Source organism: Homo sapiens, chromosome 6 (genome assembly GCF_000001405.40).
Source record: "Homo sapiens chromosome 6, GRCh38.p14 Primary Assembly".
In the NCBI taxonomy this organism is placed as follows: Eukaryota; Metazoa; Chordata; class Mammalia; order Primates; family Hominidae; genus Homo; species Homo sapiens.
In genome coordinates this window covers 70,433,498-70,460,500 of record NC_000006.12, presented here as the reverse complement: position 1 = coordinate 70,460,500, position 27,003 = coordinate 70,433,498, and the positions used below count along the sequence as shown (strand labels likewise).

General features: G+C 36.1%; 1 protein-coding gene across 59 annotated transcripts in view; it reads right to left on the bottom strand.

Moving 5' to 3' along the window:
- FAM135A (family with sequence similarity 135 member A) overlaps positions 1 to 27,003 on the bottom strand; it is a 147,667-nt gene that overhangs the window by 100,674 nt on the left and 19,990 nt on the right. For 58 of the 59 annotated variants that reach the window (XM_047419158.1, XM_047419165.1, XM_047419169.1 and 55 more), the window contains one exon: positions 7,930 to 8,009. The exons of the other annotated variant lie outside the window; for it this stretch is intronic. In XM_047419158.1, coding sequence (XP_047275114.1) covers positions 7,930 to 8,009 — 80 coding nt within the window. The remainder of the gene's footprint in view (positions 1 to 7,929; positions 8,010 to 27,003) is intronic. 59 annotated transcript variants of the gene reach the window in all.

The following is a 27,003-nucleotide window of genomic DNA, read 5'->3' as shown; positions in this document are numbered from 1 at the left end:
CTTTAGAACCAACCAATAGACAAAGGACAAAAGATTTAACTAGTTACAAAACAGGATATGAATGTCAGCAACCTTGATAATTCCAACAGAGTTTGGAAGGTAGAAAGAGAGAAAATTTGAGAAGAAAAAAATGGTGGGACTGTTTATATCCTTATTTCAAAATAAGAAGTCTGTCATGATCACTGAAGTAGAAAATGGAGCTTTAAATATACTGTTTGAAGCTACAGAGACTGGTCAGAAACACATATGAGAATAACAGTATCTCTTTTAAAAGGTTGGGGGAGAGGGAACGAGGAAATGGTGTAAATAAGATAAATAGTCTTTTTATCATAACAGGAAGTCCATTGACAATGTCCCTATGGAGGTAACCATAAGGACTAGAGACACGGGTAAAAGTTGTTACATCTAGAAAACAAGCTATAGTTTTTACTACAAGTCTTTCTGGGCTAATTCATCTTTGTTGTTGTTGTTGAGACGGAGTCTCACACTGTCCCCAGGCTGGAGTGCAGTGATGCGATCTTGGCTCACTGCAACCTCCACCTCCCAGGTTCAAGCGATTCTCTTGCCTCAGCCTCCCAAGTAGCGGGAATTACAGGCACCCGCCACCACGCCTGGCTAATTTTTTTTGCATTTGTCGTAGAGACGGGGTTTCACGATGTTGGTCAGGCTTGTCTCGAACTCCTGACCTCGTAATCTGCCCGCTTCAGCCTCCCAAAGTGCTGTGATTACAGGCATGAGCCTCCGCGCCTGGTGACTAATTGATCTTTTAACCATATGCTGTATATTATTTTGATAAAAAATTTTTTTCCAGAAAAAAAGATGGATGAATATTAAAAAGCAAACTAAACAAAATACATTTAATCTTAATAATACTATCATTACTAGGATGTCATTATTTAAACTTTTTATGAAAACTGCATAACATTTCAAACTGGAGCCAGATTCCTAAAACCAGCAATGACTTCTCTGTTGTAAAAGTCTATGAATGCTTTTCTTACCAATCAATTTTCAACAGTTCTATAAATACTCATTGTCTTTCATGACTGATGTTATTGCAGATGACAGATATTTCCTGACTCGAACCTCTCACTGTCAGCATAATCTTGTGCTGGAAATAATGTAAATGTATGGCAATAAGCTGTATAATACTATCTAATTCCCATCCCACTCAACCTGCTCCACTGTAACTCACAGACAGAAATCATTATTTTAAACTATTTTTCCTAAAAGTTTTCTCAAAATATACAGAAGGTATACGAATTATGGTAAAATTTAGCGCTGGAAGGAAAAGGTATTAAGATGAAAGTACGAATCAAAGTTAAAAGAAAAATAGAGCAGGTAATAAAAAGCATAGAGAAAAATCCAAGCCCTTAAAAGAAAAAATGAATTTTTAAGGAACAGAGGTAAAAAATTAACACAAAGGATAAAAGAAAATCATCCTATATAAAGCTATTTATGTTCAAGGATAAGACTAGGAATCAATATATTTATTTATTAAAAGTCAGTTAAATACATGGGAGCAATTTCTTGAGGCAGAAAAGGATACCTTTCCTTAATAATTTACTAATAGTGAAAAGATACACACTGTAAGAACTCGTTAGTACTACTGAAAAATGAAATTTTGAGGGAAGGATATAGAAGGCAGAAACAATATCTCAAAGATTGTAATAAGTTGGCAGCCTTCTTTGCCTTGTTTTTTCAGACTGCTGGGGAGGAAATGCATCTAGACAGAAGAACATTATTTTGTTTCAAACTAACACTTGTGAGACGCATGTCATAAGTCACCACATCCCATCAATCACTATCCTCTATGATATTCATATTAATTTAACATTTAATAAGATAGAGGCTATTCTGGGGTAAACTGGCATGAAATACTTGATACTTTACCAGATTTACCTTACCACAGGTGCCCAGAGGATGAAACAACATTCAAAAGCTATGGAAAGGTTGTTACCTATACATACAAGGTAATCATGTTGGGAATAGTGTCAGGCAGGAGAAAAACAGCATGTCTCACAATTTGTTCAGAGCCACTTTATTGGAAAGGCTTTGCACATATCTTTGCAAACCACAAACAAGAAAAACAAGTTATCATAAATTAGAGAATTAAAAATAAAATACATTGATATAATATTTGAAATATGAAAGATCTTGAGAAGTCATATTTGTTAGCACATTTCAGACATGACAGGTAAAATTTGCTATTTTGAAAGAGAATGAGAAAAAAGGGTGAAAGAGATTTTATGTATTTCTTTCTTCTTCTGTCCAAAATTTGGTTCTTGTGCTTGCTATTTTGGCTGCTATCATTTAACTAAAAGTATATAATCTTCTAAAAACTTCTAGTATAATGCTATTAAAAAATACACAGATAATATTTTCACATATGTGAGATTTTCACATATTATATAATATGGAAGCCTATCATTTTCAAACTCAGGCTTCCCTTTTATAGACTGGTGTCTGCCACAAACTATTTATTTTTAAAAGATATTTCCTTTAAATATACTAGTAAACTATCAGATCACTACATTTCATAGTCTATTATATGCAACTGATCGTATCAGAACCTAGAAACTTAGTTGGCAGCAGCAATGATTAAATCTAGACATAACTAAGAAAAAAAAATTAAGTACCCAGGAAAAGACTAAGAGAAGGTACTCTATTTGGGCATTTCTGACACAGTTTGTCATGTCAAAATAACATTACTTTGTAAATAACATTAATTATATGTAATATTTCTGCCATACCAATGACCTAGAGATTGAATTATAACTTCTGTTAATTTTTATAGAAGATAAATCCTTTCCAACCAGTATTTAGTTGATGAAGAATAGTGATCAAGGAACTTGGTTCAAATAGGGTTGTCCATAAAATAAATTCATTTTTATCTTTTCTAGAATTTTTTTTCTCTCAAAAGACAAAGAAGGGACTGAGCAGCTATAAAATGTCCACTTTTCTGGTGAGTAAAGGTAAAACTGACAATGTTGAACAAACATACTCATTTGGAAAATAAAATGTCAGATGGAAGACGTTTCTTGTATAAGATGAGGCTAAATACAAATATCACAATATTCACATTGTTAATGCACAGATTAGGTGTAACCTAATAAAGGCGGAATGATTTCGTGCCCTGAAACTACGTACGGAAAGAATCTTGACTGAGTCTGTAGCACCACCCTGTCACTATCAAATATAATAATAAATGAACACTCACTAGATTTGAAAGCTCAGTTGCTGCAGTAAATAGTCACTGACAGAAAATGTATCAGTCATGTATTTAGCTCATAAATTACTAAAGACAAAACACTCAAAAAGCCTTGGAAAAACATCTGTAAGATGTGACATGCTATGAAAACACAGAAAGGACATTTCCTTGTTGCCATAAAGTATATCTGTGTTCTTTAAAACACAGCATCCACTCTGAGTTATCAGGATAAAAAGTGTTCTTAAAGGTCCAGAAGTTGCTGAATGACACACCTGACTTTAGATCACTGCAATGAATAGATTCTGAGGTTCCTGCCCAGAGTCATAATTCTAAACTATTGTTAACCAAGATAATGCCACTACCACGCCTGAAAAGGGTGCTCCTGACTGAACTGTAATACAAGTAGCAGCAAGCACAGTCACTCAAGGGCCACTGGACCAGGAAGAGTAATCAGGGGTTACTGTTAAATCTTTTCACAATTTATTTTTGATGCCCTTCCTTATCCTGAGCTCACAAGTCAATAAGCAGAGGTAGAGAAATATTTCCATAAAGTTAGGGCAAGGTAACTTACTACTAAAAGAGGAAGTCACTTGAGGAGTAAGTTAACATTATGAAGAAAATAGTCTTTAATGAAACACATCAACCAAATTAAATATTGTGACACTTAATTATATCCTTTACACCAACCTAAAAATCTAACCAATAAGATTTTATTTTCAAATGATACTTTTGTCCACTAGTCATTATTCCCAAAGAATAATTCTGACATTCAAAATCTTTCTTGGAATTGATTTGTAATAACCAAGCACAGTTAAAATTTCCAGTCCTCTGAGGTAATTATTTGGAATCTGCGAAAAACAAAGTAGAAACAATTCTCTGTATGATACAGAGAAATGCTAAATGATTAATGATTAACTCAATGATTTAAAATGTTTCATTTGTAAATGTAAAGAACTTCTAAATCTATTGTTTCAGAAAAGGAATAATGAAAGAATGGAGAAATCATGCCTGACATAACAAGGAGATAGTTGGGTTTGATACAAGTAAGACTATATAGTAACTGAAATTAAGAAATCAGCAAATGTTTTCTTCTAGCATACTTCCTTTTGGGTATTTGAATCAATCATTTGCTGAGAATTATACAAGGACAACTTTAGTGGTTAAGAATTAATATTCAGGATGGGCGCAGCCGAGGCGGGTGGACCACAAGGTCAAGAGATCGTGACCATCCTGGCCAACATGGTGAAACCCCATCTCTACTAAAAATACAAAAATTAGCTGGGTGTGGTGATGCACGCCTGTAGTCCCAGCTACTTGGGAGGCTGAGACAAGAGAATTGCTTGAACCCGGCAGGCGGAGGTTGCAGTGAGCCGAGATCGCACCACTGCACTCCAGCCTGGCGATAGGGCAAGACTCCGCTTCAAAAAAAATGAATTAATATTCATAGGTTTGACATTATTTCTCTCGAAACTTTAATAATAAGGAACAAACATATCTTTAAAATTTATTACTTAAAAGTGGTTAGACTATTTAACCTTGTGGAATATATGTCAAGTATCTTGCCATCTTGAAAGATATCTCACCAACTAAAATCTGAGGATTTTCTCAACTGGCAACTTCAGGAGAAAAAACTGAGCTAGAAATCTAGTCTACTAGATTCAAGGATGTTCAAAAGAGTACACCAAATCTGTCATGTCATGTCACCTTGTTTTATTACCTCTATGTTTCGTGAAAGTAGACTTACAAAAGATGATCTATTATGGCAATAATATATACATTGACATGTATGCCAAGCGAAGAATAAATTCTTTTTCATTTTAAGATGAATGAATATACAAAATATATATACATATACACACACATACACATGTATATATACGTGTGTGTGTGTGTGTGTGTGTGTGTGTGTGTATTTGTCATAAGCAACAGACCTCTGTGAGCATTTTAATAGTCTTCAGGAAGATAAACTCTACACTATGTATAATTCATTAAAATTTAACATTAGTCTCAGGATAACGAAATCAATGTGCAAAAATCACAAGCATTCCTATACACCAATAACAGACAGAGAGCCAAATCATGAGTGAACTCCCATTCACAATTGCTTCAAAGAGAATAAAATACCTAGGAATCCAACTTACAAGGGATGTGAAGGACCTCTTCAAGGAGAACTACAAACCACTGCTCAACTAAATAAAAGAGGACACAAACAAATGGAAAACATTCCATGCTCGTGGATAGGAAGAATCAATATTGTGAAAATGGCCATACTGCCCAAGGTAATTTATAGATTCAATGCCATCCCCATCAAGCTAACAATGACTTTCTTCACAGAATTGGAAAAAACTACTTTAAAATTCATATGGAACCAAAAAAGAGCCTGCATTGCCAAGACAATCCTAAGCAAAAAGAACAAAGCTGGAGACGTCATGCTACCTGACTTCAAACTATACTACAAGGCTACAGTAACCAACACAGCATGGTACTGGTACCAAAACAGCATGGCACTGGTACCAAAAGAGAGAGATAGACCAATGGAACAGAACAGAGGCCTCAGAAGTAACACTACACATCTACAACCATCTGATCTCTGACAAACCTGACAAAAACAACAAATAGGGAAAGGATTCCCTATTTAATAAATGGTGCTGGGAAAACTGGCTAGCCATATGTAGAAAGCTGAAACTGGACCCCTTCCTTACACCTTATATGAAAATTAATTCAAGATGGATTAAAGACTTAAACATTATATCTAAAACCATACAAATCCTAGAAGAAAACCTAGGAAATACCATTCAGGACATGGGCATGGGCAAGGACTTCATGACTAAAACACCAAAAGCAATGGCAACAAAAGCCAGAATTGACAAATGGGATCTAACTAAACTAAAGAGCTTCTGCACAGCAAAAGAAACTGCCATCAGAGTGAACAGGCAACCTACAGAATGGGAGAATATTCTTGCAATCTACCCATCTGACAAAGGGCTAATATCCAGAATCTACAAAGAACTTAAACAAATTTACAAGAAAAAAATCAAACAACCCCATCAAAAAGTGGGCAAAGGATATGAACAGACACTTTTCAAAAGAAGACATTTATGCAGTCAACAGACACATGAAAAAATGCTCATCATCACTGGTCATCAGAAAAATGCAAATCAAAACCACAATGAGTCACACCAGTTAGAATGGTGATCATTAAAAAGTCAGGGAACAACAGGTGCTAGAGAGGATGTGGAGAAACAGGAACACTTTTTACACTGTTGGTGGGAGTGTAAATTAGTTCAACCATTATGGAAGACACTGTGGTGATTCCTCAAGGATCTAGAACTAGAAATATCGTTTGACCCAGCGATCTCATTACTGGGTATATACCCAAAGGATTATAAATCATGCTACTAAAGACACATGCACACGTATGTTTATTGCGGCACTATTCACAATAGCAAAGACTTGGAACCAACCCAAATGAACATCAATGATAGACTGGATTAAGAAAATGTGGCACATATACACCATGGAATACTATGCAGCCATAAAAATGGATGAGTTAATGTCCTTTGTAGGGACATGGATGAAGCTGGAAACCATCATTCTCAGCAAACTATTGCAAGGACAGAAAACCAAACACCACATGTTCTCACTCATAGGTGGGAACTGAACAGTGAGAACACTTGGACACAGGGCGGGGAACATCACACACTGGGGCCTGTTGTGGGGTGGGGGGATGGGGGAGGAATAGCATTAGGAGAAACACCTAATGTAAATGATGAATTAATGGGTGCAGCAAACAAACATGGCACATGTATACATATGCAAACAAACCTGCATGTTGTGCACATGTATCCTAGAACTTAAAGTATAATAATAAAAAATAAAAATAAAAAATTTAACATTAACCAACATTTTAGTATCCATAGTATGATAAAAAGAGAATCCTAAACACTTCAAATACCCAACAAGTTTTTTAAAATTTCAAAATGGACTGAATTATGCTCAGCATAGCTCTAGTGTTAGGTGTATTTTATTATTTTTATGGTGCTTTAAAAACTAGTAATTCATATTAGGCTTACATAATAACTCTTTAGAATGTTTCATTAACTGGTTCATTTTCTAACTATATGTAATGAAACAGCATATATTGCATTGGGAAAGCTGAAAAATGACCACTAATTATGTCAGGGCCACCAGTTTTAACTTAACCCCTTTAATGCTGGTGTCTCTCCTTAGAATATGAGTAACTAACAAAGCTGCTGTAACATGTCTATTTCATACCTTCCTACATTGCCTTTTGGCTCTGTTTCATAAATAGAGAACCTAATCCAGAAAAAAAAAATTGGTTTAAAAAATGTCCTCAAAATGCATACCATAAAACTTTATCATAAAACACCTTTATAACCATAAGTCAAATTATATGTTCCCATTTACTGCGTATCTTTTTAGATTGCATCTTATATGATATAATGGATACCAATCCTACATTTGTTTTCATGAAACTTTAATATACATTCTTTGATGTGCTCATTGTATGAAATCTAAGAAGGAGACAGAGTATCTGTAATCAAATCTGTTTCACTGAGTCCCCAAATATATTTCTTACAATGGTTATCATAATGATGTTATACCATTACAGGTATCTTATATCTGTAATGAAAAAACTTTATTAAAAGTTATTGACCATTCAGATTACTTTTTAAATTTGAATGTATTCTTTGGCTTACCTGTTGCATGCAACAAACTAGCTTCTACTCTGTGGGGAATTCTTGATGGAATTTTCATAGAAGCACGAATCTGGTAAAAACTAAAGCAAAATAAACAAGGAAGTTATTTCAAAACATATTTAAAAATATGCAATGCCCCGACTTCCACATTTGTATCCATATTAAAATAATAAAGTTGGCCTAATTATATCAGTCTCCCATAACATTTACTATTGTTGGAAAAAAAAAATCAGGCTTACATATCAAATATAAACATGGCATAAAACCAAAAGAGAAACCCAGTATATATAAAGATAAATGAAAGGAACAGATACAATACATATAATATTTCTTACTTTGTATGTGATAGCAACCTGTGGAAATAGAAAAGCGTCTAAGAACTTCATTGTTTCATTTGGTTCATTTTTGCTTTTATAAAATAAAAAGATAATTACTTATAATGTAATTTTGAGAAAATAGAAGATTATAAATAGTTTTTAAAAACTGGATTCTATAAATGACAAAATGAAGATATCAGTTGGTTTAAAGAATTGTTTTTTTTTTCAAGGTCAGAGCTATTTGTTTATGTACTTTTACTTATTTATTCTAAAAGATTTTTGAAATAGCATACATATATTTAAAAATCCACCAAATATTAGTAATAACTTTAAGAAAAAGATGATTATGAGGTAAAAACTATAATATGACTGTCTTATAACATCATCACACTGCAAATTTGTGTATGTAATGGAGGATACATACACCTATACACACAAAATTACCAAAAGCTCAATCAACATTATAAATTAGGGATAAGTTTAGATATATACTGAGGAGGTGAATATTTAATGTTTGTTTTTCTTCAATAATATCCTAGAGAGCGGTTTCAGATATTAAATTTGCAAATAAGGCAAAGATTAAAAATATAAATATATTAATTACTGTTATTCTAGGAAGGTGTCATCTTGGAAAGGATATAGCATCAGATCGCAAAGAGTAAATGAAAGGTCAGTCAAATTTGGAACATTAAAAGTCACAATATGGCTTTAAAGGGGCATGAGAAAACTCCATAAAGTTAGATGACTTGTTAAGATTAAGATGAGGACTGCTTGAAAACATGAGAAAACTGTGAAAAAAGATCGAAGTGGAATCAGTGGGAACCTTGAAACCAGGGGAAAGCAAAGTTTTCTAGGAACTCTTCAACTTCCCATGTCAAGGGTTTTGACTAAAGATCAAGCAAAATATTGCTATTTTAAAATATACAGGTATACGATATAAAAGCAAATTAATACTAAACAGTGGTACATGCTTCAATTTAAACTTCCTCCGCATAGAGACCATGTCTTATTCATAGCGTACATTCACAATCCTTGGTTTACACACAGTTAAGTGTTCAATATGTGTTTGACAAAATTTGGAGACATTTAAACAAAAGTCTGCATTTATCTGGCATCATTTTTCACAGAAATAGAAAATACAGTACTAAAATTTGTATGGGACCACAAAATACTCTGAATAGTCGAAGCAATCTTGAGCAAAAAGAGGAAAGTGGCCAGACATGGTGGCTCATGGCTGTAATTCTAACACTTTGGGAGGCCAAGGCAGGAGGATCACTTGAGGTCAGGAGTTCAAGACCTGCCTGGCCAACATGGTGAAACCCCATCTCTACTAAAAAGACAAAAAATTAGCCAGGCGTGGTGGCATGTGTCTGTGGTCCCAGCTACTAGGGAGGCTGAGGCATGAGAATTGCTTAAATCCAGGAGGCAGAGTTTGCAGTGAGCTGAGATCATACCACTGCACTAACAGCCTGAGAGACAGAGTGAGACTCTGACTCAAAAAAAAAAAAAAAAAAAAAAAAAAAAAAAAAAAAAAAAAACAACTAAAAGGGTCACACTCCCTGAGTTCAAAATAATATATTTCCAAGCAATTGTAATCAAAACAGCATGGTACTGGCATAAAAACAAACACAGCAACCAATGCAACAGGACAGAATTCCAGAAATAAACCCACCCATTTATGGTCAGTTGGTTTTTGACAAAGGTGCCAAGAACACACAATGAAGAAAGGACAGTTTCTTCAATAAATGGTGTGGGGAAAACTGGATATCCTCAGGCAGAAGACTGAAATTAGATCCTTATCTCATACCATATACAAAATCAACTCAAATGGATTAAAGATTTATATATAAGACCTGAAACTGTAAAACTACTAGAAGAAAACACAAGAGGAAATCTCCATCACATTGTTCTGAGCTATGATTTCTTGGATATAACCCCAAAAACATAGGCAACAAAAGCAAACATAGACAAATAAGATTACGCCAAATTAAAAAGCTTCTGAAGAGCAAAAGAAACAATTAACAGAGTGAAGAAACAACCCACAGATTTGGAAAAAAAAAGTTTAAATATTTGCAAACCATACATCTGATAAGGAACTAATATCCAAAATACACAAGGAATTCAAACAACTCAACTTCAAGAAAACAAATAACCAAATTAAAAAATGGGCAAAGTGCATGAATAAACATTTCTCAAAAGAAGACATACGAATGGCTAACAGATATGTAAAAAATGCTCAACATCTCCATTTATCAGGGAAATGCAAATCAATACCATAAGAATCACCCACATCCGTTAGAATGGCTATTATCAAAAAGAAAACGGAAAAGATAGTGTCGGTGAGGATGTGGAGAAAAAGGAACCACTGCACACTATTGGTGAGAATGTAAATTAGCACAGCCATTATGGAAAACATTATAGAGGTTCCTCAAAAAACTAAAAATAGAGTTACCATATGATCCAGCAATTCCACTACTGGGTATATATTTAAAGAACTGAAATCAGTATATTAGAAAGATATCTGCCCTCCCATGTTCACTGCAGCATTATTGACAATAGCTAAGATAATGGAAGCAACCTTAGTGTTTATCAATGGATGACTAGATAATGAATAGTAAATCTAGTATATATATATACAACAGAATACTACATATAGCCTTAAAAAATAAGAAAATTCTGTCATTTGCAACAACATGAATGAACCTAGAGGGCATTATGCAAAGTGAAATAAGCCAGGCACAGAAAGACAAATAATGTATAATGTCACTTACATGTAGAATCTAAAAATCTTGAACTCATAGAAGCAGAGAGTAGAATGGTGTTTACCAGAGGCTGGGAGTTGGGGATTGGGAAAAGAGGAGATGTTAGTCAAAGAGTACAAAGTTGCAGTTGGACAGGAGTAGTAAGTTTTAGTGATCTATTGCACTGCATGGTGACCACAGTTAATAATAATGTACTGCATATCTCAAAATTCCTAAAAGAATAGATTTAAAATGTTCTCACCACAAAAAAAAAAGTAGGTGAGGTGATAAATACGTTAATTAGCTTGATTTAATACATACATCCAAACATTACATTGTACTCCATATATACAACTTTTAAATTGTCAAAAAAAATTTTAAAATATGAAAAGAAAGCCACTTCTCTGTTAGAATGTATCAGGGAAAGCCCATTCTATATTAACCATTTTGAGGGAAGAAACCTGTTGGGAACAGGCCTCCCAAAATCTGGCCATTAAACTGGCTCCAAAACTGGCCATTAACAAAATCTCTGCAGCAATGTGACATGTGATGGCCATAACACCCAGGCTGGAAGGTTGTGGGTTTACCAGAATGAGGGCAAGAAACACCTGGCCCACCCAGGGCAGAAAACTGCTTAAAGGCGTTCTTAAACCACAAACAATAGCATGAGCAATCTGTGCCTTAAGGACATGCTCCTGCTGCAGATAACTAGCCAAACCCATCCATTTATTTCGGCCCATCCCTTTGTTTCCCATAAGGGATACTTTTAGTTAATCTAATATCCATAGAAACAATGCTAATGACTGGCTTGCTGTTAATAAATACGCGGGTAAATCTTTGTTCGGGGCTCTCAGCTCTGAAGGCTGTGAGACTCCTGATTTCCCACTCCACACCTCTATATTTCTGTGTGTGCGCCTTTAATTCCTCTAGCACCACTGGGTTAGCACTGAGCTGGTCTTGGCAAGTGGCGTCCATCACGGGGGCTCGAATCCAGGTCGAAGGGTCACCGGAGCGACGGTTGGAGAACGTGGAACTAAGCTGGAGGACACTCGAGTACTCTTAAAGCCAACCCCGTGGTGAGTAAGAAGGGGAGCTCAGAAGCATCAGGGTAACAGTGGCACAAGTGTGGGCTCTGGTTCGTTCCACCTTGGAACACTTTCACACTAATGATGAGGAGGAAGGAGAGTACAACGAAGTAACAGAAGAGGTTACAGAGCAGGTTTGTTTGCCAGCTAAAGCGGCAAAGGAGGGAGAGGTTCATGTCTACCCTTCTGCATCCCCTCATTATTATGTTAAAGAAAAAGAGTGGCCTGACCCTCCAGATCTTTCCTTTCCAGAGGACACTGGGCGAAAAGTAGTTGCCTCAGTGACTGTTCAAGCAGCGCCTTGAATAACCGCTCTTAGTTTTATTCAGGCAGGAATTCAGCAAGTTAGATGAGAGGGTGATTTAGAGGCTTGGCAGTTCCCTGTTAGAATACACCCCGCAGATCAACAGGGAAATATTATAGCTACATTTGAGCCTTTTCCTTTTAAATTCGGGAAAGCATATTTAGTCGATTATATCAAGGCCTGTGATGGTATCGGAGGTAATCTGCATAAGGCTACTCTGCTAGCACAGGCAACAGCAGTACTGAGTGGATAAAGGAAATACTCCACTTCCTGGAGCTTGTTTTAACTGTGAGAAGCATGGGCATACTAAAAAAGAATGTAGAAAAAATCAGCGAGTCAGGCTGCCAGATAGGGGAAAAAAGAAAACTGCTGAGTCTGAAATATGTCCAAAATGTAGAAAAGGAAAACACTGGGCTAATCAGTGTCACGATGGGAACCCGATTTCGGGAAACGCCATGAGGGGCCCATCCTGGGCCCCATTCCAAACCAGGGCATTTCCAGCTCAGACCATTCCCTCACCCCTGTACAATGTCTGTCCCCCGCCACAGCCGGTAGTGCCCCAGTAGATTTATGCTGCACAAAAGCTGTGAGCCTTCTGCCTGAGGAACCCCTGCAAAAGGTCCCAACAGGAGTCTGTGGACCCTTGCCAGCGGGGACGACAGGATTACTTCTAGGCAGGTCTTGTTTACATTTAAAAGGGGTACAAATACATACAGGAGTCATTGATTCAGATTACAATGGGGAAATTCAAATTGTTATATCTACTTCTGTTCCCTGGAAAGCAGAGCCAGGAGAGCGAATAGCACAGCTCCTGATTGTGCCATATGTGGGAATGGTAAAAAGTGAAATTAAACAAACAGGAGGATTTGGAAGCACAAATAAACAAGGCAAAGCAGCTTACTGGGTAAATCAAATTACTGATAAACGTCATACCTGTGAAATAACTATTCAGGGAAAGAAATTTAAAGGTTTGGTAGACACAGAAGTGGACATTTCAATCGTTTCTCTACAGCACTGACTGTCCACGTGGCCAATTCAACCCGCTCAATTTAACATAGTTGGAGTTGGTAAAGCCCCTGAAGCATATCAAAGTGGTTATATTTTGCATTGTGAAGGGCCCGATGGACAACCTGGGACTATTCAACCAATTATAACTTCTGTACCTATAAATTTATGGAGGAGAGATTTATTACAACAGTGCGGAGCACAAGTTCTAATTCCAGAACAATTATATAGCCCTCAAAGTCAACATATGATGCATGAAATGGGTATGTCCCTGGTTTGGGACTAGAAAAAAATTTGCAAGGTTTGAAAACCTGTCACAATGAGTAACTTAATGGTAGTTATGAGAGCGGTGATCACCACTGCCGTGAGTATTCCTTCAACAAGGGCTGACACAGAGAACAATTATCCTTATTGGGCATATTTATCAATCTTGGCCGGTAATAATGCCTCAATGTAATTACTCTATGACGCAGTTACACATGCTTTCTGATCTCAGTATTTACAATAAAAATGCTCCCATAATCAAGGCATTCCACCCTCAAAAATCTTTTTGTAAACAAAATTGAACCTGGCCAGAAAAAAATGAACTTACTTGTTTAGAAAGATTGCATTGCAGAACAGGCAGAGGTGCTGCACAATGATTCCTATGGAATCATTATTGATTGATCCCCTAAGGGGATGTTTAGCTTGAATTGCACCTCTCAGTCTGCATGCCACGGTCACACTATGTTCAGATGGTCTGAACAAAACGGTCAGATGGTAGAAATGATAAGAAGTACAGCAAGAGTTCCTACTATCTGGAATTACGGTGGTATAGTGGCACCTCAACCTCAAATGATATGGCCTGTTGTAGAAGCTAAACATAAGGATTTGTGGAAACTATTAATGGCTCTTAATAAGATCAAAATTTGGGAAAGAATAAAAAAGCATCTAGAAGGACACTCCACAAACTTGTCTTTGGATATTGCAAAATTAAAAGAACAAATATTTAAAGCATCCCAGGTACACCTGACCTTAATGCCAGGAACTGGAGTGCTTGAAGGAGCTGCAGACAGATTAGCAGCTAGTAACCCATTAAAATGGATAAAAACAGTTGGAAGCTCTGTGATTTCAATGATGATTGTGCTTTTAATCTGTGTTGTTTGTCTTTGTATAGTCTGCAGATGCAGATCCTGACTCCTGCAAGAAGTAGCTCACCATGACAAAACTGCCTTTGCTTTTATTGCTTTGCAAATCAAATAAGGGGGATATGTTGGGAACAGCCCCCCCCGCCCCGAATCTGGCCATTAAACTGGCCCCAAAACTGGCCATAAACAAAATCTCTGCAGCACTGTGACATGTTCATGATGGCTGTAACGCCCATGCTGGAAGGTTGTGGGTTTACCGGAATGAGGGCAAGGAACACCTGGCCCACCCAGGGTGGAAAACTGCTTAAAAGCGTTCTTAAACCACAAACAATAGCATGAACAATCTGTGCCTTAAGGACATGCTCCTGCTGCAGATAACTAGCCAAACCCATTCCTTTGTTTTGGCCCATCCCTTTGTTTCCCATAAGGGATACTTTTAGTTAATCTAGTATTTATAGAAACAATGCTAATGACTGGCTTGCTGTTAATAAATACGTGGGTAAATCTTTGTTCAGGGCACTCAGCTCTGAAGGCTGTGAGATCCCTGATTTCCCACTCCGCACCTCTACATTTTTGTGTGTGTGTCTTTAATTCCTCTAGCACCACTGGGTTAGGGTTTCCCTGACCAAGACGGCAGAAACCATATCTAAATATTCCATACCAATGGTCAACAGCTTTCTTAAAGGGCTTGACAGTAAATACATTTTTACTCTGTGGGCCATAGTCTCTGTTGTGACTACTCATTCCTGCTGCTGAGCAAAAGTAGCCATAAACAAAGTAAGTAAATGGGCGTGGCTGGGTTTGGCCCAGCAACAAGCCAGATTTGGTCCAAAGGCTGTAGTTTTACCACCCCTGTTTATGTATTCCCACCCTTGTTTATGTATTCCCACAATTAGCACCATGATAGTATCTCACCTAACATTAGATGAAACAATATGTCTTTAGTTAAAGAATATGCACACTATGAATCATTAGATTTGCTTCCTAATTAGATTTTCTGGTAATAATTACGATTTTAAAATAGAAATCAATGGAAGGATAAAAAACAGAAAAAGTAAAATACTTTTAAAACAGCCTATCATAAAATGTGTGATCACTGATTCTGTAGAATAAGATGCTATGTCAATAAACTGTTAAAAAATTTTTTAATCTCCACATTTAATGTATACTACTAGAATGTCATATAGTAATTTATATTCCCTGAATACCATTTGTTCATCACTTATTGAAGATCTATGTGATAGGTGTTAGAAATACAGCGAAAGAAACACTAAAAGCAAATATACACATTATTTTAAATAAAGTTCATCTGATATTTATGAAAGCAGTCTACCACTGTAAATACATTTTTAATTAAAATTATTGCTACTTTAAAAGATATAAAATTTTTTAGATAAATAAATTTTTTTCTTTTATTCTTTTTCTTATTGAGACAGGTCTCACTCTGTCACCCAGGCTGAAGTACAGTGGTGCAACCATGGCTCATTGCAGCCTTGACTTCCTGGGCTTAAGCAATCCTCCCATCTCAGCCTCCCGAGTAGCTGGAACCCACAGGCATGCTTATTTATTTATTTATTTATTTATTTTTTTGAGACACAGACTTACTCTGTCACCCAGGCTGGAGTGTAGTGGCATGATCTCTGCTCAATGCAACCTGTACCACCCAGGTTCAAGCAATTCTCATGCCTCAGCCCCTGGAGTAGCTGGGATTACAGGCGTGTGCCACAAAGCCCAGCTAATTTTTGTATTTTTAGCAGAGACAGAGTTTCACCATATTGGCCAGGCTAGTCTCAAACTCCCGATCTGAAGTGATGTGCCTGCTTCCCTCCCAAAGCACTAGGATTACAGGCGTGAGCCACCGCACCCAGCCCAAAAATTTAAAATGTGGATAAGTTACCTATTTTTAAAAACAAAATATGAAGTAAGCGATAAAAAAATTCAAAAATCAAAGAAAACACTTCCATTTTAAGAGTTGTGGTGGGCTAGGTTATTCAGAACAATCTCTTGCTAAAAGACAATGTCAGATAAAGTATAAAAAGTATATCTGTAAAATTACTGAAGAGCTGACAAGATAGTATGGAATTACCAAGGAAAATTTAAAGGAAGGCAAAATCATAGTGAATTAGGCAAAGCAATTAAGCTGCTTTTGTTCTGAGGCCATCTGTTGATATATTCCAGCAAACCTTAATTAAGAAGAAAATTGAGATGAAAAAGACCAATCAACCAATAGAAAGATGAAAAAAAAGGTATGATTAAACAGTTTACAGAAAAAGAAATGCAAATGACTCTAAATATGCAAAAAGAGTTCACTTTCACTTATAATTTTAAAAACTATAAATTTTCACTACAAAAATATATCCATTCTCAACTATCAGACTGACAGAAATCCAACAATCTAACAAAATATAGTCACTCTTCATTCAACAACAGGAATACATTCTGAGAAAGGCATCCTTAGATTGATTTCGCCACTGTGCGAACAATGTAGTGTACTTACACAAACCTGCTGGTTATACTACACACGTAGACTATACCACATAGCTCATTGCTGCTAAGTTACAGATCTGCACCATATTGTACTGTACTGCATACTGCAGGCAATTATAACACGATAATAGGTATCTGTGTATCTAAACATAGAAAAAGTAATGTATTGCACTAGGAGGTTACCAAAGCTACTACCATCACGAGGTGATGGGAATTTTCCAGCTCCATTATAATCTTATTGGACTACTGTCATATTTGCGGTCTGTCACTGACCAAAATGTAGTTAAATGGCACATGGGTGTAATATGATGGCAAGCATGTGGGCAAACAGGAATTCTACCACAGCACTAGTGAGATCAAAAATGGCACAACCCCATATGGAATGTAATTTGGCAAAAAAAGAGCAAAAACAAGTGTCATTTACCCTTTGCCTTAACATCCCACTTTTCAGAAGATATCCCAAAGATAATCTGGCAAAAATATTAGATGATATATGCAGATTGTAGTATTAATTGCAATAGCAACTGCAATATTGTAGTATTAACCGCAATGGGAAAATATAAGATAAAAACAAAATGTCCAATAGGGGACTGGTTGAATAAACTATGGTACAACTATACAATGGTGTAAAATGCAGTTGTAACAGGGAATATGAAATATCTCTTAGATTTTTGTAAATTTAAATTTGGTGGTTTAATCTAAAGGTTTGATTATGTACTTCCTATAGCATTGTATCAAAGGACATAAAATGTCTGGCTCTTTTTTTTTGGGATATGATGGATTCAGGTGTTACCACCCGAATGTTAATCACTCACACTTAGAGGAGTTACCTCTAAGATATACTTTTAAACAACAAAAGTAGGGTACAGAGTGTATGTATCCTATGCTACCTTTGTGTAAGATGGAAGGGTATGACTATATATTTATTTGCCTCTATTTTCAAAAGAAAAAAAGGATATACCAAAAACTAATAAAAATAAAATGGTTACCTATGGGATGAGGAGAGAGAAGGGACAGGGATCAAAACAAGATCTATCTCAATATAGTGGACTTTACAGAGTTTTGGTTTTGGACCCACGTAAATTTTTTATATAATTACAAAACAAAGAAAATGTCAATCCCTAAACAACACTAAAACAAATAAATTTAATGTATATCTACTTGATTGCAATTCCACAGAGAAATACTTCAAGTGATTTTTAAAACACAGTATTTTGACTGCCTATTCCTCACGGGATATATCTCGGCAAAAAAAAAAAAAAAAAACCCATGAAGAAATTTTAAATATTTATGGTCTTGGTGGTAATGTTGTTAGTATTATTTTGAAACTATTCTATATAGAAATGTCCACACACATACATAAAGTAAGTAATGATCTACATTACTAGGAACCAAGATTTTCGCTATAAGTAAAAAGAGACACAAACATAAAATTAAAAAAGTAAAATCCTTGTAAACTTAAACTGGAATTGAAAATATCAGTATACATTAATGATGCATTTTTCTTATAAAAATGTATTTGTGGTGGAGCATGGTGACTCATGCCTGTAATCCCAGCACTTTGGGAGGCCAAGGCAGGTGGATCACGAGGTCAGGAGTACGAGACCAGCCTGGCCAACATGGTGACACCCCATCTCTACTAAAAATACAAAAATTAGCCAGGCGTGGTTGTGGGCGCCTGTAATCCCAGCTACTTGGGAGGCTGAGGCAGGAGAATCGCTTGAACCCAGGAGGCAGAGGTTGCAGTGAGCTGAGACGGCGCCAGTGCACTCTGGCCTGGGCGACAGAGTGAGACTCCATCTCAAAAAAAAAAAAAAAAATTTGCTAATGCTGTTAACTGAAAGGACTTAGAAGAAATGACCCCAAAATGTGTACCTTTAGTATATACATTATGATTTCTAAGTACTATTTCCTAATAAAAGGAACCAGGGCTCCTTGGCTGACTCCAGGTCTGGATCAAAGAATGTACAAGAGTCTGCAACACCTAATCATAATAGAAAACAAGAAAACTATCAAACACTGCTTAGACTGTCCTGTGGGAAATTCACAGAAACCAACCTGAAGGGCTCCCTCTAAGCATCAGAAAGGATAGTGACACAATGTTTTTTTTTCTTTTTTGAGACAGGGTTTCACTCTGTTGCCCAGACTGGAGTGCAGTAGCGCCATCTCAGCTTACAGCAACCTCCACCTCTGAGTCTCAAGCAATTCTCCCATCTCAGCCTCCTGAGTAGCTGGGATTATAGGTGCGTGCCACCGGCTAATTTTTGTATTTTTAGTAGAGACGGGTTTTCACAATGTTGGCCAGGCTGGTCTCAAACTCCTGACCTCAGGTGATCCACCTGCCTTGACCTCCCAAAGTGCTGGGGTAACAGACGTGAGCCACAGCACCCAGCTGATAGTGACACAATATTATCAGCAAATATGTTGAAAATCCATGAGTTTATATTGGCACAAAATAAAAAGTGATCATATGTGTAATATGCTACGGCAACAACAAAATATTCTGAATACAAGTAACTAGGGAGAAATAATAAAACATTTATTATGTCTTTTCTGTGTAAACTATATGTCAGAATAACCAAATAGTTAATGAGGCAAAATTCTTCACAGAATTCCAGCTAATAAATGCACAAGGAATAACAGAATTTGGATATCTCCATTTTTTTTTGAGACAGCTTTCCTGCAAACTTCTGAAAACGTTGTTTCATTATTTCAGGATCTTAAGTAATACTAAGAAAAAGTTTGAGACCAGACTCTCATTTCTTTGTAGGTAACATCTTTTCAAACTGAATACTTACAGAATTATTTAATTTTTTATATGTACAAAAAAGCTCTTATTGCCCAGGTTGGAGTGCAATGGTGCAATCTCAGCTCACTGCAACCTCTGCCTCCCAGGTTCAAGCAATTCTCCTGCTTCAGACTCCTGAGTAGCTGGGATTACAGGTGCTCACCACCATGCCCAGCTAATTTTTTGTATTTTTAGTAGAGATGGGGTTTCACCATGTTGGCCAGGCTGGTCTTGAACTCCTGACCTCAGGTGATCTTCCCGCTTCAGCCTCTCAAAGTGCTGGGATTACAAGTGTGAGCCACCGTGCCCAGCCCTGGATATCTCCATTTTATAACCTCTAGTGAAATAATGACTCTGGGTAAAGATCATCAATGGGTACCATCAATTAAGTGATAGGGAACTGTTTAATGGGTCCATTAGGTTGATATAACACCTGAATCAATCATATCACAAAAAAGAGAAAACCAGAAATTACCTGTCCTCTGATGCAATGCAATAGGAAGAACATAGCATCACTTGAGGATTCGTCTCAAAAACAACTGGAATTTAATCAATCCTTTAGATTAAACCATCAATTTTAAATTTTGGAAAATGTAAGAGACATATTAACCAAATGCAAGCTATGAATTTTGGGGTGAATATTGATTCAAACAAATAATTAAGAACACACTTATGAGATGACTGAGGGACTGTGTACACTAACTGGATTATTTGATATCAAGGAATTATTTTAAACATTTATTTAAGTACAATAATGATTTTACAAATATGTTAAAAACAGAAGTCCTTATCTGTTGGAGATACATACTGAAAAAACAGCTGGGGGGAACAACAGGTGAAATAGGAAGAAAAAACTTTGATAACCGAGGCTAGGTGATAGGTGTGTGCTTACTATACTTTTATGTTTGAAACTTTCCATTAAAGAAACAAAAGTTAGTCCTAGATTGGTAATGCCCTAAGAGCCTGGCAAAAGTGAATGTCCTCTTGAAGAATAAACCTGAAACACTGGTAGAGATCAGAACATGAAACAAAAGAGTATAGGAGAGCAAATGAAGAGCGGACATAGAAAATACAAAATATGAAATTATGAACATAATCACAAATAAATCAGCCATTACATTAAATATAAATGGATTAAATGTTCCACTTAAACACAAAAAGTGCCCTAGAAAATGAAAAAGATAAATCCCATTATATGTTGTTTGCAATTAATATAGAATACAAGGAAAGAGAAAGGTTGAAAGTGAAATAATTGAAAAAGGTATTTCTTGTAAATATTAACTAGAAGAAAGCTGATGTTATAATATTAATATTAGACAAAATAGTTCAAAGCAAAAAGCTACTAGGATATAAACAGGGTCTTTTCATAATGATAAAAGGTTCAATTCACTAAATACAATAGTCTCCCCTTACACTCAGGTGATAAACTCCAAGACCACCAGTGGAAGACCGAAACCTCAGATAGTACTGAACCTGACTGCCATCAATCAGAACACGTTTCTGGGTCCATGTCTCCCACCTACAAACTTAATAGCTTTTCCATCAATTTTTTTTTAGATCTTGCTCAGTCATCCAGGCTAGGCTGGTGCAATCACAGCTCATCGCAGCCTTCAACTCCTGGACTCAAGCGACTCTCCCACCTCTCAGCCTCCTGAGTAACTGGGACTACAGGCAAGCACCACCATGTCCAGCTAGCTGTTTGTTTGTTTTTGTAATTTTTTTGGTAGATAGGGCCTCACTATATTGTTGCCCAGGCTGGTCTCAAGCTCCTGGGTTCAAGAGATCCTCCCACCTCAGCTTCCCAAAGTACTGGGATTACAGGCATAAGCCCACTGTGCCCTGCTGTCTTTTCCATCTTAAGCACTTATCATGCACTGTGGCTATAACTTGCAGTTTGAGGTGTAGCAGCAAAACTAGCATGAATTTTTTTTCCTTCTTCACAACGTCACAGATAATTCATTCTTACCACAGATTTTAGCAACCTCTGCATAAGAGATTTTTTCTTTCCTAAAGTCGAGAACTTTCGTCTTTTCCCTTAAGGGAAGCACTTTACAGCTTCTCGTGAATCCAAATTGTCAGCAACAGTACTCTTGCACTCTTGGGCCACTATTAAATAACATAAGGGTTACCTGAAACAAGCACTGTGATACTATGACAGTTGATCTCATAACCAACACCAGCTACTAAGTGACTAATTGGCTGGTGGTATATGCAACATAGATATATGCTGGACAAAAGAATTTCTGTCCTGAGAGGGACGAAGAGGGACGTGCACGATTTCATCCTGCTATTCAGAATGGTGTGCAATTTAAAAACTATGAATTGTTTATTTCTAGAATTTTCCATTTAATGTTTTCAGACTGAGGTGGATTGCAGGTAACTGAAACCACAGAAAGTAAAACTACTTAAGGGAGGATTACTGTAAGTATTTTAAATTTGTAGGCATTTATTTTCAAAATATGAGATGTCTTTTATGAACAGAAAATTATTGGACTTAAATCCTGCAAATCTGCCTTTGAACAAGACAACTTAAATTTATGAGTTTTATAGTCAGAATGGTTTTGAATGTTTCTACTTGTCATTGTATTCTGTATTTTCTGTTTTTGCTACTGCTTCCTTTATCCATTCTTCCTTTTGCTATGTTGACTCTGGCTGGTTTGTTTCTTTTTTTCCAATAACCACATATAATCTCTCATTTTATCAGACAGTAAAAAAAAGTTTCTCGAAAAAATGAATATATGGTATAAGTATCTATAGAAAGAATGATTAAAAATTTTTTCTTGCTTTTTATGAAAGAAATTTCACAATTCCTCCGCCATCATTCTCCCGTTCCATGTTTTATTAATAAATATAGAGAAATAAAGCAACTCACTAATCTCTTCAAAATGGAAATTGTTTTTCAAAGAGCCTAACATTTACTTTTGTAAAATTTAGTTTTTTGACTTATTTCAATAACTTTAACAAGTTTCAAAGCCTATTTTCTACAACTTCCCTAATTCCGAGTTCTAAATTTTTACTCTCTCCCATCGTGCTCTGGAACATATCACAAGTAATCTATTCAGAATAAGTAAATGGAAAGTATATTTTCTGAGACTGTATTTTCTCATAGTATCTCCCTATTGTTACAAAAAGATAAAATACTTGGGTCACTACAACTTTCCTGCAAACTTCTGAAGATGTTGTTTCATTATTTCAGGATCTTAAGTAATACTAAGAAAAAGTTTGAGACCAAACTCTTATTTCTTTGTAGGTAAAATCTTTTAAAACTGAACACTTACAGAATTATTTAATTTTTTATATGTAAACTTTTATCCCAATATATTCTTTTAAAATCCATTCTTTAATTTTGCCAAGAAAACAACAAGCCCACTTGTTGTTTCCCCAAAAAAGGTCTTTATTAATATGAAGAAACGTCTATACTTACTGTCTGATTATCTAGCCAATTTATTGGTTACCTCTTTGAGTATACATATTGTTATTTACAGGTGGAACTCTAAGATCCATATGGGTAGCCCCTGGGTTAAGTACTACTCAACCATAAGTTAAGTTTATCCTTATGCAAATTGTTTCATAAGTTACATATTGAAGTTGCAGAGATGCAGAAAACTTTTCATTAATGTAGAAACACAGTATTATATATATATAGTTAATAAATACACAAATTTGTTTCATGTTTCTTTCCCCATTGAGGTTTGCCCTACATTTAAGTCATGTCATTTATGTTTTGATTTTCATATAGACATTTCTCATAATAACACTTAGTCCTTTAAAGCTAGTTAATTGACAGCATTAAGTAAATACTAAATCTTTTTTGGTTTTCGGTAGTAGTTTTTTTTTCCCACAGTTAATTTGACCTCCTCTATTTACTTATACTTTAAAAACATATGTGTTCAAAGCCAGTAATGGCAGATTGTTGGGATATTCAATTACTATTGGCCCCATCATTCACTGTTATGATCCATTATAATGATCCTTCAAAGACTGCAGACATCCTTTCTCACCTAAAGAATGGTGAAACTGAAAACAAAATGAGTTTCCAGTTTTAAAAACAAAAAGAAGAATACACATTGGCAATTATGATTTTCACAACTGTTTTTTTTTCATATCGCCAACATCAAATTATAAAAGCTTCCAGAAAAGCAGAACTTACTAGCCCCTTAAATCCAATACCCTTGTACTCCATCTGTAAACTGCTGATTCAGACTAAATGTACCCCTATACCATAGCACAGATTAAAAAATGAGTAAAGGTCACAGCTAACATTAACAATGAAAGAAATATTTATATTCCGATAGCTGACGTAAACTGTTGAAAGAAAACAAATTGCGGAGTACAGAGAAGGGCTGATTCTTAAAACTGAGAAACCAATTAACTTCTTATCGAGTATTCTCAGTCCTTATATCTTACTGAAGACAGACAATTTCAGACAGTTTTGAAGGCCTTATGAAAAATTTGAGGTAGTTTCTTGTGAGCTCCAATCACCAATGCTTAATCAGAAGTCCTCAATTCCTGAACTTTTTTTTTTTTTTTTTTGAGACAGAATCTTGTTCTTGTCACCCAGGCTGGAGTGCAGTGGCACGATCTCAGCTCACTGCAACCTCCGCCTCTGGGGTTCAAGTGATTCTCCTGCCTCAGCCTCCCAAGTAGTTGGGACTGCAGGCACCCACCACCATGCCTGGCTAATTTTTGTACTTTTAGTAGAGACAGGGTTTCACCATGTTGGCCAGGTTGGTCTCGAACTCCTGACCTCAGGTGATCAGCCTGCTTCGGCCTCCCAAAGTGCTGGGATCACAGGCGTGAGCCACCACACCCGGCAAGTTCATGAACTTTAAGAATACAACACATACATGACATTATAGACAAGGAATCACTTTTTTCAAAAGTTGTAATCAATGTCAATAAAACAAAATTCAGCTGAATTTCTGACTCTTAGCTGATAGTCCTTTTAAATCAAACTACAAATCTTCCATAAGTTTAACAACCTCAGAATCATAAACAAAAGGGATTTAAGATAATTTTGTTAAAAACTGTGTTACAGGGCATGGTGACGCATGCCTGTAATCCCAGCTACTCAGGAGGCTGAGGCAGGAGAATTGCTTGATCCGGGGAGGTGGAGGTTGCGATGAGCCGACATTGCATCACTACGCTCCAGCCTGGGCAACAAGAGCGAAACTCCATCTCAAAAAAAACAAAAAACAAACAAAAAAACTGTGTTGTATCAAACCTGGTTTACAGGGTTCTACAGAGGTTTTCCAAAAGGATTTAAGTTCCATGGTTTTGTGATGTTACTAAAATTTAAGAATGTAATTTCTAGGCCGGGTGCGGTCACTCACGCCTGTAATCCCAGCACTTTGGGAGGCCGAGGAGGGCGGATCACCTAAGGTCAGGAGTTTGAGACCAGCCTGGCCAACAGGGCAAAACGCCACCTCTACTAAAAACATAACAATTAGCTGGGCGTGGTGGCAGGCACCTGTAATCCCAGCTATTCAGGAGGCTGAGACAGGGAGAACTGCTTGAACCCAGAAGGCAGAGGTTGCAGTGAGCCAAGATCACGCCACTGCCCTCCAGCCTGGGCAAGAGTGAGACTCCATCTAAAAAAAAAAAAAAATATATATATATATATATATATATATATACACACACACACACACACACGTATATATATAATTTCTAAATCTATATCCTTACTTTCCTCCATTTCCAAATCATAATATGTTCTTTGTAGTAGTTTATCTTATGACAAGGAAATGGTGGCAGTATATGATTAAGAAAAGTAATAGTAGCTACAGGTATTCAATTAACTGTTCTACAGTAATCCAGATAAATAAAGAACAAAGTACTACTTTCAACTTCTGACTCCAACAATATTTTCCTCACTACTTAATTTATTAGTAGTAGCATGCTGGATTATTGACTGTTCCAACGATATGTGGAAACAAATCAAACTGATAACATTTCACTTGCAAAGTCTGATAAAAGATTAAAGCATAGCACTTTGTCAAAGTTCTTCTAAATGTCTTCTAAATATTTGCCGCTTTTCAAAATGAATGAAACCCAACTCCACTCAAGATGCCATTGCTAATATTCTAAAGCTGTACTACTTCAAATATGGTACACAGACGGGTGCATTTTTGTGAAATGGTTGTTACCAATCTGCAGTAAAATAAAGTAAATCAACTATATTGCAAAGCACACTATTTTAACTAACTTTTTTTTGGTAGCAAAATTTAATGAAGAAAGCAGCATTCATTTCCATTCTGGCAACAGTGCTTCATCCTGAACCAGTCACAAACCATCTGCAGACAAGCTACTGAGAATAGCACTGACCTAAAGCATTCTAGAAAAAGATACTTCAACAATTTTGCAATCATCTCCAAACAAAGAAAAATTTCCCCCACTTTAAAACCTAACTGAAATTTACTACAACCATAATTTAATTCCATCCTCTTATCCTTTATGCCAATGAGAACAGGTGTTCAAATAGCAATGTTTCTGTGTCTATTTAAAGGGCAATATTTCCTTCTCCTTTGGAGTCCTCTTGACAAATGTATTTTGAATGAAGTCATTGGGAAGTCTATTATCTTGTAATTAGATACTCCTAATATAATACAAATCTTAAGATAATTTATATTACTCATTTATAAGACATACATCCACATTCCATTTAATAGCATCATATTTATGATCAGTGCTTTACAATTTTGACTTCGTTTTCAGAGTTTAAAAATCCACTCTATTAAACAAAATGATAGAATAGAGTAAAATTAAAATAAAACTAGTTTTTCTTTAGATTGTTAGTATCTGAGCTTTCTGTTTACCATTAAGGCAAAACAATGTAATTATAGTAAAAATTAATTATCATGTAAATACATTAGTAATCTGTTTATTCCTTTCTGAAGGCAAGCACAGATTTTTTAAAATAACTTTTTTTAACATTGAATAATCTATTACACCCGATAAGTCTAAGCAAAAATACAATTTTCTAATTCAATTAAAGCTAAGAGTTGTTTAAGCCCAGCCTAGCCTGTTAGAGGATGAGAGATTATGTGGAGGAGAGCTGAGAAGTCCCAACCAAGGCCATCTTAGACCAATCAGTCCACAGCTGACCACAAACGCGTGGACAAGCTTCGATGACATCAGCCAAGCTCCAACCTAAAGACTCATTAGAAACAACAAATGTTTGCTGCTTTAAGTTACTTAAAAAAAAAAAAAGTTAAGAT